We start from the raw sequence: 18,908 nt of genomic DNA, 5'->3' as shown, positions 1-18,908 counted from the left end.
GAAACAAGAATCGCTTGAACCTGGGAGGCGGAGGTTGCAGTGAGCTGAGAGCCACTGAACTCCAGCCTGGGTGACAGAATGAGACTCTGTCTCAAAAATAATAATACAAAAACAAAAACAAAAACCGGTGTGATAAAGTGGAAAATGCATGGACTTTGCTGTGAGGAAAAATCAGATTCAAAATCTTCCTTCTGATTATGTGGTCTTGGGCAAATTTTTTAAACTCTCTTAGGTTCAGATTTCTTTTTTTGTAAAAGGGAGATAATTAGTAATGTCTACTTTATAGGGAGTTGAGAGGTTTAAATGAATTAATAAATGTAAAATATGCCTAGAACACTGTTTAGTACATAGTTAGCTTTCAATATATTCTATTTATTTTTGTGACTATCCTTTTATCCTCTAATTTTCTATTACTGTCTAGTAGGGATGAGCCCAGGTTTACCTAATGATGGGAGTTATACCAGGTGTATTAATTATTTCAAGGATCTCACTCCTTCCATATACATCTTGACAGGCCTTTCCCACCTGATAGTTTAACAGGAAAATTCTACAATTAGGAATTCACTGCTTTAACCTGGGATTTAGTTGCTTATATTCTATTAAATCACCATTGCCCTTTGGGAGGCCAACACTTCAACCCAATAAATAATAACGACTACCATGTGTGGAGTAACACCTTTTCCCTGTGACATTTCTTATCTCATCTTAAATTGCTTAACAGTCCCATAGGGTAAATATTATCCCTACTGATAGTGTTCACACATTTAGGTTTACAGTGATAATCAGAACAAAAATGGTTCAGAAGTCACCGACTCAAGTTGTTATTGCTGTTGTTTCTAAATTAAAAAATTACAAAATGTAATTTTTTCCCTCAGAAAAAAAAAACCCTGAGAGATTGACAGAGACTATCAATACACAACTAAATTAAATCATCGTTAAAATATTTTGTGTTGTGAAAACACAAAATAAGCACAGACAGGGTATATGAAGACCTCCTTTCTAAGGTGGGTCTTGACCTTGGAAACAGGTATTTCTGATGAACTCTGAGAATATTAACTCTCCCTTGAAGTCTTGTCTTTTGAGGACTACTAAGAGGGGTGACAGGTTTGGTACACACAGATGAAGTTACCCGCAAGGCAGAGGGAAACACAGACTACTTAGGGAAGAGACTACGTGATGGAGAGTGAGTGTCCCTGGGAGGCCTGAGAATAAGTGCTGGACCAGGACGTGTGGCTTCCCGTTTATCAGCAAGGGTGGAGTAGGACAGAATCCTAGCAAAAGTGAGGACCTATGCCAGGGCTCTGATACCTATTTGCTAGAGTAAGCACTGCCTAGTATCATAATCCCCATCCAGTACTGTTTCCTGAGTGACTTTATGTATTACACAGTTCACTTGATATAAAATAAAATCGGTAAGAGCTTCATAGATAGAACATACGCTCTAGAATCAGAAAGATCTGGGCTTAAATCCCAACTCTGCCACTAACTGGTTCTGTGATCATGGGCAATGTGTTTAACTTCTCTGAGCCTCACATTCATTCTCTAAATGTGTGTGTTTGTGTGATAATATTCACTTCATAAGGTTTTGTCAAAATTAAATGAGGTAACAGGCTTCAGGAGACACAGGTGGTGTCCAATAAATGCTAGTTATTATTATGGTGACATCTCTAGACTATGAGCTACTGGATGTCAGGGAACATATCTTACTCATTTTCATATTCCTGGTACCTATTTTATAAAGTCAATGCTTAATAAATAAATGTTGAACAATGCTTAAACTAACAAACATTGGGAAAAGTGTTTCTGATGTACCAAAAATACAAAAAAAAAAAAAAAACCCAAACCATTGCAGTGTAACATGAGGTATAATCAGACCATAAATGTTTGCAGTAGCAAATGACATATTTTCTAGTAAATGGATGCTGTCGTTAGTCAATACTTCTGTAGCTGCTTCACCATTTAATCATCATTTAGACAAAAGGAAATGCACAGTCCTCATTTTCAGTGTTGAACGTAACACAATATTTGCAAGTTGTCAGATATTAGTAAAAATGACTTGGATGACTGGGAGCAGCTCAGGCCTAAGTCTGAATGGAATTGCTTTGATATCAGGATATCAGACTCTCCACACGCCCACCTCTAGCCTCACTCCGTGCCACCAAACTCTCACCCTGTGCCCAAGCTCTGCACATGTGTTCTTAAACAGTTTGCCAGGCTTGTTTTAGGAAAAAGCAAAACACATGGTTTATTGCTGCTCATAAATATGGTACCAGATTTCTCTACTTCCTTGGACACAGTGAAGCAGAGAAATATTATAACATTCCCTGTTTTATGAGTAAGCATAAATAGTTCTATATTTAAGGAATCCAGAATTCTTAAGGGCATCTTGAAGGGTAGGACATCCCTTGAAAGAGAATTCGTGTGGAATGGGAATTTGGCCTTAGGTGATCTTGACACTGAATGAGTCAAGCTTACATTACAAAATCCACCAGCAATAATAGTAGCACTGTCCTAAGGCTGGAAACACACTTTATTGGAAAATGCAAATTATGATAGCACAGTCAAGAACAGGATGTTACTAAGCAACTTCCTTGCCTATTTGAACCTATAGTGCATTCAGTTTCCATACACACACATATCACATTCAGGTTTAACCTTTTTGAACTACAAAGATAAGATTAGAAAAAGCAAAATATATGCACAAACACCATATGGATATGTGTTTTTAAATTATTTTAATTAATTTACATTTTTTTCTTAAAAATGTACATGGTTATCAGTCATGGTATAGGTCAAGAGCAATGACATGACAAAGAATTGTGGACCTGGAGCTATAGCAAGGAAGTGGATGGATGGTAAACCATATAACAGATGTAGGATGTCCAGTGTCTGAGGAGAAATGGCCACACTGTTTGCGATAACTTCTTTTATTGCCAGTTTACGGTATTGCCCATGCGTAAGTATCAAAACAAAAAGGGAGAGAAAGGAGGAAAAATTATTCAAATGAAGCTTTTATTTTCCTCTACTGAAAACAAAGCATTATTTCTTCTTGAATTATTAGCTGTGTATCTCTAATCCAAGTCATGTTCTAACAATTTCCCTGTAATTAGAAATATACATATTTGCGTAAGTTACTGCCAAGGTGCCTAGGTATTTTACTGGCATTAATAATCAGTATATGGCAAGAGAAGCTGAGCCAGTGGGCAAAAGGCTTCATAGTGTTTGGGCCAAAGTGGTAAAAGGAGACTGTGATTATGTTTGATGAGGCCAAGACTTGGTCCTAGGAAACCAGGGTCTGAAAACACTTACCTTCAAACTTTGGTCAATTTCACTAAGCCTGAGGGCATTGTTGCTTCTGGCCTAATTCTCCCATTTGGGTCTTGTCATTCTAAAAAACAAAGAGGAGGGTAACTTTGGATAAACACTTTGTATATCACAACCCAATTCATATTGTAAAACATACAGCCTGTTCGTTTAGTTGACTTGGAAAAAAAAAACCGTACTTCATTTCACTTCCACCCTCAGATCACTAATGTCCAACGTGACTATGTTGGCTTGCATAAGGCTATACCTTGGTATTTTTGCAGTCAGTGTTCACTAACAAAAACCTAACACATGGAGTGGAATGAACAAGCTTATGTATGTTACACTAATTTATGCTTTCCAATGTGGACTGAATATGACTAGGTCCTATCCCAAAAGCAAAACAAACAAACAAACAAACAAAAACCTACCTGGTATGAGAGAGTCTGTAGAAATTTCTCTAGGTCTTGAACCAACTGGAAAATATACAGGGCCAGATCCAACAAAAAGACATCTTCAAGGGAGGTCAGGGGTCTGGAACAATCCATTACTTTTGCTGAAATAAAAGCTGGGTTTCCATCAGGGAGTGATGCAATAACCGGGAATTATCAGAGTGCTGTCATAAGCACAGGTTCTAGGACTTGCTGAGTCGTGACACCTCAGCACCAGGTATTTAGTTCTAGGAATTTGCTGGAGGACAACCAGCAGCTAACTGAGCAGCCTTGGTTCTTTTGGCCAAGGGTGTCCTCCCTTCACACGTAAGTGTGAAACCGTTAAGCAGAAAGACCTGGAGTTCTATAGCAGCAACAGCCCTAAAATGTGTCTTCCATTTAGGGCTATGATTGAAATCTGCTAACGAAGGCAGACAACACATCCCAACAATGAAGCCCTGCTTTAGAACTAACAAAACTGATTTCTACAGATACTGTTTCCAGGCTGATGTTTTAAAGAGGATCTGTAAGGAAGAAAAAAAAAAAAAGAATTCACTCAAATAAAACAATGCTACTAGGACTTTATGGAGAGGTGAATTTTATTACATTTCACCCATATCTGCTTCCCCTCCTGGGGTGGAATTATATTTCCCAAAGATGCTGAAGTCAGACTTGAATTGACTTGCTTTACCACCGAAATGGGAGTGGAAGTGACTTGTGTGGTGTCCAGGTAGAAGCTTAAAATGTAGCATGTGGTTCACTGTGATCATTGCCTTTGCCATGGTGAACATCAATATGAGAAGAGAGACTCCTCCAACACTGTTGGTCCCTTAGGGACGTGATGTGGAGAACAACCCCCAGTCAACGCTGGCCAACACTCAGTGGATGTTATATATTTAGAAAATAAACTTCCGTTGTTGTAAACTGTTAAGATTTTGGGGTAGTTTGTGACCACTGAACAATCTAGTCTAGTCTAGCTAAAATACAGAGCAACTTGGAAGAAAACGTTTGCAGGGTTGAAACCGCCCCTGTTCATATTGTATTTATACATTAGTCAACATAAATAATGAGGCATTTCTCCATTTCCTTGACACTGAGCATATTTCTCCAATTGGTGACTAAAAGAGAGCTTATCCTGTCGCACACGTTAGAACAATCTTAGAATCATTTGATAAATGTAATTCAAACACAATAGCCCATTTTTTTCTTCATTACTGAAGGAGCTATCAAATTGAAGGTAATCAAAAGGATTGAAAACAGGTTTACCAATATGTTGTTACCTCTAAAACGCACATGCAAGAAAATCAAGTCACGCATGTAATAAACTGTAACAAGATGATTGGCATATTGACAAGGCTGTTGGCACAAGCTGTCTTTGGCTCTCTGCCCCAGTCGCAGCTCCTCTGCTATGGAAATCTGCTTGTTGGCCACTGGAAAGGCAGCCGTCACATCTTTAGAGGTTTTTTAAATTGGTAAGAAGAGGCTCTGAGCAGCTGTGATCGCAGGAAGGATAATTAGGGTAACAGAAAATCAGAAAGAGCCAAGTGGAGATGGAGGATCTACCACGTTTAATGCCATGTCCAAAGAAAAATAAGATATTTGTAAATATTTCCTTGTGATTTTTCAGGGAAAACCATATGCTGGAAAGCAGTATGGTAGGAAAAAAGTATCAAACTCATATCACAATGGCTTTTCTACTTTTTCTATGGGCTTAAAGAGTTAAAGTTAGCCCAGATGTGGAAGGACAACAGATGGGTGCATTCTGATGACTTACAATTCTGGATAATAAAATGACCTAAGACTCTATTTAGAGAAATAGAACAGCTACTCGGGCTGTTTACAGACTGAGAAATATCACGATAAGCAAATGCAGGCAGTTCAAAGGAATGATAAAAAAAAAAAGGACAAGTGGATAAATAATGACCTGATGTTGTTGCGAAAATGTAGTATAACTCTTACATTGTTAATATAAACACAGATGACCTTTGCTTTTGCTCAACTTTCGTCTTCAAGACAGGAAACAGCAACTGATCTTTATCGGAAAAGTAGAATCTTCCACTTGCTTCTGCTGTACTGACATTACGGTGTATGTCAGAGCATAGCAATGTCACTATCTTTTCAAACCACATGTTGAAAGCCTGATAGGTGGTTGAAAGAGAAGCTTATCCTGGGCATATGCTTTGTGTGTTGCAGAGACAGTATAGACAAGGTTAGAAGGAAGGCATTGTGTGTGTGTAGGGTGTGGTGTTGAGACTGGGAGAGAAGGGCCTGTGTCTACATTTTCTGTGGATGTATTCTTCCATTTATCATCTTCACAAACATAAACATCCTAGGAGAATGTCTACTACTTAACAAATAAATCAACCTGAAGTTCTTTTGTTTTATACATTACAGTAGGCAAGTCCTATATTCTGGACATACTGTAAACTAAAACACAAGGAATTGTTTATGAATTACACAATATTTTGCGTCAGAAAAGTTTCTAACATCTGAACTAGCTTTTCTCTATTTCAAATAGAAATTGATTCAGATTTTTTATGGCATATACATAAAAATGCACACATCTGTCCATCAATACAGCACTTTATTCATACATTGATGTTTCAGTTCTGTAGTTCACAGCAACCTACGGCCATTGATGAATCTTCTCTCCCTGCTCTTCACTGGATATTTATCTAGTCATGATTTCCTAAGTCATGATTTTGCCCTAAATGAAGTTACCTAAATTGACCTTTCATTTCTCACTGCACAGTCTATTTAGTCTGGGCTCCAAAACAGACTTTCTCAATATGGGACCAATTCTGATTGCTCTTACTTATTAAATATTTCTCACCTAGCATAACACTTGGAGAAATCACCTTTATGTTTCTTTATAGCCATTATGTAGAGCGCCAAATCCTGTTTACTTGGACCTGCGGCAGGATGATCCATAGTTTCTACCCACTCTAACCCAGCCCGAGAAACTGTTTCTAGCAAAGGACGTATTCTGTATTCTAGCTCTCAGCCCTGCCTCTATATGCCATCATGATGATACCAGGGATGTTTCCCTTCCTATTCCAAATAAATAAATTCATGTATACTTTTCTTAAGCCTCTAGCTCCTCTATCGTGTGACTTTAATATTAGAAACTTTACATGCTGGGACCAATTACTACCTAGTCAATCAGAAATAATACTACTATAATCTCAATCATGATTTAACAAGTTTTTTCCTGCAAAGGGTTAGATGTACATATGTTTTCAGCTCTGTGGGCAATATGGGCTCTAGATCTCTTAGATCTCTGTTACAATTAAATAAAACAACCATGGTAGCATGAAAGCAGCCACAGATATAAAGAAATGGGTGTGATGGGTGTGTTCCAATAAAACTTTATTTATAAAAATAGATGGGGGAGGTAGTTTTGGCTTGTGGGCTGCAGTTTGCTAACCCCTGATCTAAATCAAACAGACACATAGCCATTGCAAATTAGAGTCTGATCCTGGTAAAAATCACACTTACAGATGGTCTTCACATTTCTTCTGGATTTATTGAGGGGATGTAAAAAATCAATATGGAGAGATAATTACTGCTTTCTAAATAGGACTCTACTACAGCTATTAAAAACATTGACATTATCCCAACTTCTCCTGCCTGAAGGCATTTGTTCTATGGATATTGGCAACGGATGCAAATGCCATTCCAAAGAGGCATGCATTTAGATGTTTTCTTTTGTTTGTTTCTTTGCAGCTTGGATAGTATCATTCTATTTGGCCTCCTTCATATTCAGTGGTGCTTGCCTAGCCAAGATGGGTTGGAGAAATGCTACTGATATATAGTAAATCATAGAAATGTATATGCAAAGGACTTAAAACAATAGCTGCTTTTCAATAAGTACCAAAATATTATGCCAGGGACAATCATATATGACCTCATTTATCTTTACTACATCTTCTAGATGAGGAAACAAAGACTCAAATATATGAACTAAATTCCCTCCAATTTTTTTTGTTTTTTTGTTTGTTTGTTTGTTGTTTGTTTTGTTCTGTTTTGTTTTAACAGAGGATCTCACTCTCACCCAGGCTGGAGTGCAGTGGCAGATCATAGCTCACCGCAGCCTTGACCTCTTGGACTCAAGTGATCTTCCCACCTTCCATATTGCTGGGATTACAGGAATGCACCACCATGCCTGGCTAATTTTTATTTTTGTAGAAATGGGGCCTTCCTATGTTGCCAAGGCATGTCTTGAACTTCTGGGCTCAAGCATTCACCTGCCTTGGCCTCCCAAATTGCTGGGATTATGGGTGTGAGCCACCACGTCCAGCCTAGAATTGCCCAAGATTCTAAAACTAGTAAGAGGCAGATCTGGAACTTAAACCAGATCTCCTGACTCACTTGAATATGAACTTTGTATCAAAATGGTAAGGCCTCATTTCGTTCTTCATTTCCCAGATTTTCCTGATTCCTGATCCCAAAATTGGTATCCGTGCTTTTGATCTCATTGAACCCCAAAAAGATTACCTTTTCTAAACATTCAAGGTGAGTGTGCTCTGAGAAGCCATAGTGAAGTGTGTTGAGGCAACTTAGCTCTAGAGGCCCAGGGTGAGTGCTTTCAGGCTGAGTGACCTGCTCACACTAGTCCTACAATGTAGGACTAGTGGATGCCACAAGTCAAGAAATGGAGGGAAAGCAAAGGTCATACAAGCTTTAGCAATGGACTGGAGAAGGCAGTTTGAGTTTGAGAGAAGAGTCTGAGAAACCCAAAGGAAAAAGAGTTTGAGAAACCCGAGTTAGAACTCATGGATATACTGCTTAGACCCAACTAACCAAGTCAGCCGAATGTACCCGGATAGCTGCTGGATGATTATCTTCTGGATGGTTATCTAGAAAGAGGGCTTAGGAACTGGGCAGGAGACATAAACTTGTAGAATTCCAAATAAGGACTTTCCAAATATCGGCTCAAAATAACATTCCCATTCATTATTATTCCAGTATCTGCAAGGAATTTGAGGAAAATATGTTATGGCAGGGTTCCAAACTGACTGACTGACAACCAGTCAGAAAACTTAGAGTAGATAATCTTGAAACTGGTCATATCTTCAGAGAAAACTGCATGCAAAGCAAATATTTGAAAGCCACATTTTAAGAAAGGAATAAGTGTATGGTGTGTTTGTGTGTGTCTGTGTGTATGTGGGTTAGGTAGTGGGTCTCTGGCACAGGTAGAAGAGGAAAAAGTTGTGACTTTTATTATTTATTATTATCATTTTTTGAGACAAGGTCTTGCTTTGTGGCCCAGACTGGAGTGCACTGGCATGAACATGGCTCACTGCAGCCTCCACTTCCTGGGGCTCAAGCAATCCTCCCACCTTAGCTTCTCGGGTAGCTGGGACCACTGGCGAGAGCCACCATGCCCGGCTAATTTTTTGTATTTTTTGTAGAGACAAGATTTCACTTTGTTGCCCAGGCTGGAAGTCCTGACTTTAATATTAGGATCCTGCTGACCCTATATCTTTGAATTATTTGACTGTGTACCCAAACATGTGTTTGCTTTCATGTAGACCAGACCTTATAAATCTTGAAATAATCCATCAGTGAAAGGAGAAAATGCTGCCTTGTGTGTGGCTGTGTAATAAAGATGAAATGGCCTCTGATGAAGTGTGAGGCCTCCTCAATTACCTGTCCTGGAGACAATAACCTTTAAAACACATCAAAACTGTGAAAATATTATTGCTGAAGGCAAAGGGATTGATACTTTCCAGTGAATTGAATACCACAGGCCACCCAATGGAGCAATATCAATTATAGGGCAGTGCTGTTTCCAAGATGCTCCTCTAGAGCATAGGGTTTGGACCAGAACAATCTCTCTTTCATGGGGAGTGCAGTTGACAACTTGTACTGGGTCACTGGGGGCATCTCCAAAGGGCTTCCCAGGTGATCTCACACATGGAGAGTGTAAATGAGAGAGTAATTTAAACCATGTGAAAGTTTGGCTTCTTTTTCAAAACTGCAAGAAAGCCTGATTATATCATAGTTAGTTATTACACAGATTCAAACAGTGTGCTGAGTTAAACCAGGTCCCCTGATACATCACAACTGCATTCAGTTACAGTCTGATGCAGCACAGTCAGAATGTAATTCAAAAACCATTAGACATTCCATTCTCCTATCAGCTTGGCAAAGAGCCAAAAAATTGACAATACCCAACGTTGGCAAGGTTGTTGGGAGAAGCTGGCACTTTACTACACTGTAGGCAGAAAGTAATCTCATATGACCCTTTGGGTTGGCAAACTGGTAATATGTTTAAAGATACAAAATCTCTAAATCTTTTGTCCCAACAATTCTACTTTCAGGAATTTACCACAGAAGGAAAATTGGTCAAAAGCTCAAAGATGAATGCATGAGGTTCATCAGAGCATTGTTATGAGAGCAAAAATGTTGTAAATACTCTGTGTTCATCAAGAGGATTTTGGTTAAATGGATTAACCAAAACTGTACACACATCCATAAAATATTTTGCTGATAAATTATATTGATATCTGTTTTAATTGAAATGGGAAACTATCAATGATATTATTTTGTGAGGAGTATGTTAGAAAAGGAACAAAGAACAAGTTATAAACTAATATGTTTAATATGATCATATACATATGTGTGGATAGGTATATGATCATATTAGCAAAACTAGCTGCTTCAGGGTGAAAGAAATTGGGATGATGCTTTACTTTTTTCCCTCTTTCTACTTTAAAAAAATTATCTTTTTTCTATTTCTTTTCTTAAATATAAGTTTATGGGTATAAGTGCAGTTCTGTTATGTGGATATATTGCATAGTGATGAGGTCTGGGGTTTTAGTGAAATCATCATCCACATAATGTACACTGTACCTCTAAGGTAATTTTTCATCCCTCAACCCTGCTCACTCACCCACCCTTCCAAGTCTCCAGTGTCTATTGTTCCGTTCTGTTATGCCTGTCTGTACACATTATTTAGCTCCTATTTATAAGTGAGAAGATGCAGTATTTGACTTTCTGTTCCTACTTTTTATGTTTTGTTTTTTTCATGTATCTGCATTAATCTTTATTATCAGAAAAAATAATAAAAACACACAAAATCAGCTTAGGTGTTTTTCCTCTCTGCTGGCACCTGCCTTAAAGATGTTGCACTGTGTATGCGAAGTGATTTTCATTTTCCTAAGGAAAGCATCATTACAAAGAACAGGAGCACAGGAAGAAGGAAAGCTTGGGGTCTGTGGCCTATTGGTGCACACTGCATTAGCTACTCTAAAGATAGAGGAATCAATAACTTGGCTCTAATAGCTTGTTAATCATCACACTGAACTTAAGCTTCACTTGTATAAAATCGTCTTGGAACGGTAATAGCCCTGCTGTTTCACATTGCTTTTCTTTCCCAGGGCTTTATTAACATGACCTCACTCATCATGCGGCGTGCCTGTGAGCTCTAGCTGCCCAGCAATTATCTCCCATTTGAAAGAGAGAAGCTCCAGGCTCAGAGAAGGGCAGATGTTGGCCAGAACCTACAAATGGTATGCCAGGAGTAGGCAAGTCAAATCTTTATTTTTCTGTACTTTGGGAGCCAATTTTCGTACATCTCATATTGGTCCCTTCCCTACCCTACTTCTTGATAACAGCAAATTTGATTCAGATCAATTCCTTTTTCCCTCTCTCTCAATCTTGGGGTCTATAGTAAAGGATTTAGCCAGGTCTGGTTTGGTTTGGAAAAAATTGTTGTACTTCACATAATGTATTCAAAAGATGAGTGTATTAGTCTGTTCTCACACTGCTATGAAGAAATACCTGAGACTGGGTAATTTATAAAGAAAAGAGGTTTAATTGACTCACAGTTTCACACTGCTGGGGAGGCCTTAGGAAACTTGCAATCATGGCAGAAGGCAAAGGAGAAGCAGGCACCCTCTTCACAAGGGGCAGGACAGAGTGAGTGCCAAGTGAAGGGGGAAGCCCCTTATAAAACCATCAGATCTCCTGAGAACTCACTCACTATCATAGGAACAGCATGAGGGAAAACTGCTCCCATGATTCAATTACCTCAACCTGGTCCCGCCCTTGACACATGGGGATTATGAGGACTACAACTCAAGGTGAGATTTGGGTGGAGACATACAGCCAAACCATATCAGTGGGAAAAAGTATCTGATAGTATAATGGCAAGTATCATAAAGCCCTATTTGGATTAAAACCTGACAAATCCCTACATTGTCAAGCACTGTTATGAGAGCAAAAATGTTGTAAACACTCCACATCCATTGATGGGAGTTTGGTTAAATGGATTAACCAATAGCATGTATCCAATCATGAAATATTTCCAGTAATCTCATGTTTAGTAGGAAAAAAAAAAAAGAGAGAGAGAGAGAGAGAGATGAGGGTGGTCACCCATCATCAAGTGACAGAAACTAAAGGATAAAAGGCACATTTAAAGAACCTTCGATGTTGAGCCCAGAGCTTGAGGTGCCTCAAACTCTCAGCAATTCTGGGCAAGCCATCTGGAAAAGGCCAGTTGTAGAAATTTTGCTGGATCTCAAAGAGGAAATACGAGAAAGGAAGTTTTTGGAACTTTTCTTTCTCTTTTAAAACATCAAAATAAATGTGGTCCTGAGAGAAGAACAACAAAAACAACCCCCAAGGGAAGTGGAGCCACAAGCCACCATTAAGTCACAAGAGGAGCATGTGCCACCCCACCGGGAGCTGTACGCACTTGGCTTCTTCCAGCTGATGGTCACACTGAAAGTCCTTGTCATACGCTTGCACTTTGTCATGTTAGCTGGAATTAAACACAGAGAGTACGAGCAGCAACGTGGACTCTCTAGACCCTGACCCTCATAAGAGGATTGCCTTCTGGAAGAGTCATCAGCATCAGGCACTTTAAGTTCTCTGATGCCATTGACCAACTGAGCCATCCCGGCTGTGTTTTTGTGGTTCCATCTGTTTATTGGGACTATTAAAATAGAAGACGCGCAATATAAACAGGGTGTGAAGGGACAATGAGCAATTACCCCACAGATTTTTCTGGACTATGGAGAGAGACAGACAATGTTTCACTTTGCATAAATGTAAAAGAAGATGTACTTGTGTTATGACGAGGTATTCTAGTCAAGCTGCGTTATGTTGTACTAGTTATTCTAACCTCTTGTTTACCTTGCATGCAATATTATTGAAATGGGTGTTTTTAAAAATGTTTTGAATTCTGCAAAAGAAACATGTGACATGTATGAGAATTAAAATCTATTAACAAAAAAAGAATGGTTTTAAATAATTCAAATAGACTTTGAAAGAACTATAAACTTGGCCCACTCTCCCAGTCCTCTTTTTCTTGCATCTTTTACCTTTATTATCTAAGGGTATTTAAAGACTTGGGTATTTATAGGGCACATTGATTGGGGTCTAGTTCTACCTTTACATGAATATAGGCCAGCCACTTGTGATGCCCCTTGACAGAGGACAGCGGCATAGAAAACACATTGTACTGGTCATTGTAGTTGTGGAGTCTGTTTTAGAGAATATTTTCACCATCCAGAGATCACTGGCTCCTCCACCAGAAAAATGTGAAGCTCTGTTCCAACGCCTACTGCAAAACAGTATGGAGATATTAACAAGGTTAAATACTACAAGGTCCCATATATTTATGTCCCCTGTGGTTAAAGTGGAGCTGGAACAGAAAGTTGTCTCTTATCTCCTTCACCTTCTGTTATCCAAGGCCAATGCTTAATTCCATTATTTAGCGTTTGTATATTTCCACCTTTTAATTTTGATCCTTAAGAAAAACTCTAGGAAATCCATCTCTCAAGTGCTGAAGCATGTTCTCAAAAACACAACTATACAATAGCTGAGAACTCTTCCTGTGTTGAGAAGAACCTATTTTCCATGATGATTTCCAACTCAGTTTCAGGAAAACAAGAAGTATGATTACATTAAATGAACACATTAATTGTAAGATGTATTCTGTTTTCATAAATGTTGAAATGTGAATAGCATATCTCAGAATCCAGAAAATCCAGTGCTGGATGAAGCTCATGAAATTTAAACATAGGTAGTATAAAAACATCTTATTTCAAATATCTGCACTTGTCTACTGAACTGCAATGCTGGTTTTAAGAACAATCTTAGAGTAATACGAAAAACTGTTTCTTAAACATATTTACTGACAGTCAATAGCTTTACAAATTTTACTTTAGCAATAATTATTTGTAGGTGTATATTACCTCTGATATCTGTTATACTTGGGAGAATTTACTTAAGAAGATACCTTATAGACTTATCATTTTAATACATTTAAAACTGCCATGATAAATATGATACGAACGCCAATAGACACATATGGCTATTGGGAACCTGAAATGCATCTAGTCCAAATTAAGATGTACTGTAAGTGTAAAATACGTGCTAAATTTCAAAGACTTAATGTGAAAAAAAGAATGTAAAATATCTAATTGATATTTTTTATATTGATTACATGTTGAAATGACAATGTTCTATGTATATAAAAGAGAATATATTATTAAATATATTAAAGAGTTAAAGAGAGTATATTATTAAAAGAGGTTAAAGATAATATATTATTAAAATTAACTTCACTTATTTCTCTTTACCTTTTTAATTTGGTTACTAAACATTTTTAACTTCATATGTAACACACGTTATATTTTAATTGAATGCACTAGACTAGAAGAATACCATTAGCATTCAAATACTTTACAGATGAACAAACTTCTCATTTAGATCCAGTAACTGTAATATAGTTGAGAATTATAAGTAAATATCGCTGTATTTTCAAAATGCTTCAAAAACATTTAGTATAATAATCTTGACTTTCAAAGACAATGCATAGATCTCCTTTTCCTCTGTTTCCCTCTGCCACTATCTAGTGATAGCAAAACTATCATAAGGATTTATCTGGAAGCTATTATTTTCATTTTTCAAGATAAGGACAATATAGTTGCTTTGGAAAAGGTGCATAAAAAATAAGTGATTAACAACAAATATTATGGTGAATATACTTTCCTAATCTTAAAAAAGAAAGACAAAACACTATTACAATAATAAAAGTCCTATGCGGACTGGCATCAGAAATCCACCACAAAGTATTTTTGCAAAAAATTTAACTCTTAAGCTAAATGATCTAGAGCTACTTCTATAACACACCCCCCCTCCCCCTCCACCCCCGTGTGACTAGAACAAATCTTGAGAATATCCTAACAGGTTCTTCTGTAAAAGACCAAAAAGAAAGTTTGAAAAGATAATGACTCTATATCAAATGGAGAGATGTGTGTGGGAAGTGTATCCAACTAAATGTTCTATGAGATCTTTGAACATAAAGACAATTTCCTGAAGTGTTCTATGGATCTGAATATCTGTGAATATTGTCATGCTTGGGAGGTCACACAGGTCTCCCAAGTCTCACTTCTGATATACATTCTATCCTATAATATTCTCCAGAAAACCAAAGAATTAGAACCCTCAAGAAAGACAATGAAAGACAGTCCATTTAGATGCTCCCTGTACCTCACCAATACCTGCAGCAGTATCTTATTGAATTGGGGAGAGTTCAAAATTCCACTGACAATTACTCAAGGGCATTTTGATCAACATACCTATGCTGTTTAGTTACCCAAGGGTGACTAAATAATTGTATGGCAGTTGATACTAGTGCTATTTTTCCTATCCTTATTTACATCTTGAGTAGAAGGCACACCCCCAATAGACTGAGCTATTCAAAACGGTGCTGGTTGCTTCTCTAGTAATATTAATAGTGTTTGTATGTCCTGTCATATGGCTCAACCACAGTGTAAGCTGAGGCCTTTCCCTTTTTACCTTAACTGGAGGCAGACAGCCACTTGCATGATTTAAAACCTCTCACCAGGATATTCAAATTCAGAATCATCTGGCAGGCTGGTTAAAACGCCAAGCACAGTGACTTCATGCCTGTATCTCAGCACTTTGGGAGGCCAAGGTGGGAGGATTGCTTGAGCTCAGGAGTTCAAGACCAGCCTGGGCAACATGGAAAAACCCTGTCTCTACCAAAAATACAAAAATTAGCCAAGCGTGGTGGTGCACCTGTGGTCCCAACGACTTCAGAGGCTGTTGTAGGAGGATCGCTTGAGCCCAGGAGGTTGAGGCTGCAGTGAGCTGAGATTGTGCCACTGAACTCTAGCCTGGGCAACACAGCCAGACCCTGTCTCAAAAACAAAACAAAACAACCACAAAAAACAAACAACAACGACAAAACAAACAAACAAACAAAAACAAGGAAAACACAGACAGTTAAACCCTAACCCTAGATTTTCTGAATCAGGAGCTTAGGGGTGAGACTTAAGTGTTTGCATTTCTAACAAGTTTTCGGGTCAAGTAATGCTGATTCTGCTGGTTAAAAGCCTATATTCGAGAATCGCTGCTTTAGATATCCATTCTATTAACCCTCCCAGTTATGCCCTCATAGAATGGTGAGGGGAAGGAAGGAAGGGAAGAGAGAAAGAAGGCATGTGAAAGAGACAGAAGGAAAGAAGGAAGGAAGGGAAGGAGGTGAAAGGAGGAAGGGAGGGAAGGACAGAAGGAATTAAGGAAGGAAGGGAGGGAGGGAGGGAGGAAGGAAGGTGAAAGCGGGGAAGGAAGGAAGGGGACAATTACCAACTTTGCCAGGGTCTGGCACCACACTTAACACTTTATATCACAAAAATCATTTAATTCTTATGATGACACTAAAGGTAGGTAATATTATATACTATTCCAGATAACTAACATGAGGCTTAAAGTGCAAACATAACTATCCAAATGGTTATATATTTGTAAGTGACAGAATTGTCATTTAAATCTAAGCAGGCTGATTGCAGAGGCCTCACCATGATGTTTTACTGACGCTTTAGCAACTTACTCACGAAAGTGTCTGCAGTGTATTGTCATTCCTATCCTTTTCCTACTAAAGGCTGCAGTGTGGTCTCTCTGCTGCAGGGCTGAGTATACAGCAATCTGCACAGATGAAACTAAGCAGTAAGGTTTGTGTACAAAGGGACTGTCCAGAATTTTCCTGTTAACATGTACTTGGCCAGCCATGATTTTCAATAGGGTGAAAACTATGATCAGATACAAAAACCACAGGTTGTGATGTAGGGAATGAATTGAGTAAAAAGGGCATAGGGAAGGAGGGATACAAATACAAAGAGAGTTAAAGGGGGAAAAAGGGGGAATGAAGTGTACATGGAAACAAGTATGTATGAAAGGGGAAAGGTTAGAGAAGCTACAGCCATTTCCATAAACTGTATGGTCTTATGCATTCATGCTCAAAAATTACTGTTTTCCTCTTCTCTACCAGAGAATAAACATGAGGCTGACTGCTTCCTTCATATAATAAACATAATGATGTAGAAATAAGAACAACCCAAGGAAAAAAAATCACTGAAGAAAATGACAAATTCAAATAATATGAATAGACATAAATGTATTGTGATTGCCGCATTTTTTTTTTTTGCAAACTCTTTCCTTTCACATCCTTTTTCTTTTTCTTTCTTTCTTTTTTTTTTTTTTTGAGACAGAGTCTTGCTCTGAAACCTCCACCTCCGGGTTCAAGCAATTCTCCTGCCTCAGCCTCCCAAGTAGCTGGGACTACAGGCACGTGCCACCACACCTGGCTAATTTTTGTATTTTTAATAGAGACGGGGTTTCATCATGTTGGCCAGGCTGTTCTTGAACTCCTGACCTCAGGTGATCCACCTGCCTCGGCCTCCCAAAGTGCTGGGATTATACACATCCCTGTTTTTAAAAGTGAAACCTGCCTTCTATAGAACACATTCCCCCACAGAAATACACTACAGAAAATAGATCTAATAAAGTGGAGTTTTGTTCAAATGCTTCCCTCACAATGCCACTAATTAACATGTGACTTTGAAATAAAACCCACAAAGTTTAGGTATCATCTCCCTAAAATGAAGGACATGGATGAGATCGCTGTTTTTCGCACTGTACACTACTAAGCCCAGGGAGTTTCTTGGGTATCCTCCAGCTGCCAGGTTTGAGTTAGATTCTCTGGACTCCTAAACCTAGATTCAACCGAAGCACCTTAACATTTACCTGGTTTACTTACTGAGCTTTTGTATATAATTTTGTTTGAGAGCAGAGATTTTGTCGAACTCTAATATTAATTGACCCTAAGATTCTAAAACATGGCTTAAAATGCAATAGAGGTTTGAAACTTGATTTTCCAGGCACGTTGGCACTACTCTCCTGCTACAGGGAGAAATAAAGTACCACAAACAGGAGCAAAACCAGATTTAGTTGGTTTCAAAAGTAAAATACTCCCACCAGGATAGTCTCTGAAACATGCCTTTATCTATCAGAGATGATGCATATCTATAGAAATCTTCAACTGACACGGACGGCTGTCTTGTGAACAGGAAGGGCAACATAAGATAGTGACTATGCAAAGCATTTACAACATTATTTTGCAAAATTAGTGTTTAGGATGCTAAGAAATGGCAAGAAAAAGGGAGATATGTGGGAACATTAATTGCCCTAAAAAGCAAAGGAAGAAAAATATCTCATTCCTAGTTTGAATTGAGGTGGTAGAAACCAGTTGAGTCAGCTTCGAGCTGAACAGACTCATCTTGTGTTTTTCCTGGCATCTCAGCTATAACCATAATGCAGACAGGTGAAGGCCAAAGAGCCAGTGGACTGAGCCAGCAATGCCAATACTTCAAAGGGTCCTGAAACTAACTTAGAGGAAGACTCTGAGTCCCTAAAGACAGTGATGACCAGAAATCTTCTAAGACACATTAGGACTTCCATCAACAAGATTAGAACATGCCTTACCTCACAGCCTTCTCTGAGTCCAAAGTGGTCTAAGCCCAAACCTCCTAGAACCTTCAGGATTTATAAATAACTCCCTCTTTCAACCTCTTCTGAACGATGTGATATCCTAGGCATCATTTAATCTTGGAAAGGACAGTTATAACAGAAAAAAAAAAAAAACCTAGAAGAAAAACTCTTCCAACAGAGTCCTGGAGGTTTCTATACCTGTGTCCCAGTTCACCCTGGGGCAGAGAATGGCTCTAAGGTCCCTTTCACAAAGTTGTGTATGTTCTGATTAATAAGAAATCATGTTGAGCCTCTGGGTATTCATTTTAATCAGTGTGCTAGAGATGCACACTGCCTATGCATGTTCAGCAGGTGAACTAGGAT

The 18,908-nt window shown here is 38.4% G+C and overlaps 1 protein-coding gene and 1 long non-coding RNA gene across 11 annotated transcripts in view; both read right to left on the bottom strand.

Annotated features, from left to right (window-relative positions):
* NRG1 (neuregulin 1) overlaps positions 1–18,908 on the bottom strand; it is a 1,134,802-nt gene that overhangs the window by 341,422 nt on the left and 774,472 nt on the right. The gene's annotated exons all lie outside the window — the stretch shown is intronic.
* On the bottom strand, positions 976–9,005 carry LOC105379361 (uncharacterized). Its single transcript, XR_949651.3, has 3 exons — positions 3,735–9,005; positions 3,310–3,388; positions 976–2,924 (listed from the first exon to the last, which is right to left on the bottom strand). It is a non-coding gene; the product is annotated as an uncharacterized LOC105379361 (long non-coding RNA).

The sequence above is a fragment of the Homo sapiens genome, chromosome 8 (assembly GCF_000001405.40).
Source record: "Homo sapiens chromosome 8, GRCh38.p14 Primary Assembly".
Lineage (NCBI taxonomy): Eukaryota > Metazoa > Chordata > Mammalia > Primates > Hominidae > Homo > Homo sapiens.
Note: the sequence above shows the minus strand (reverse complement) of the source record. Positions and strands in the feature narration are given on the sequence as shown.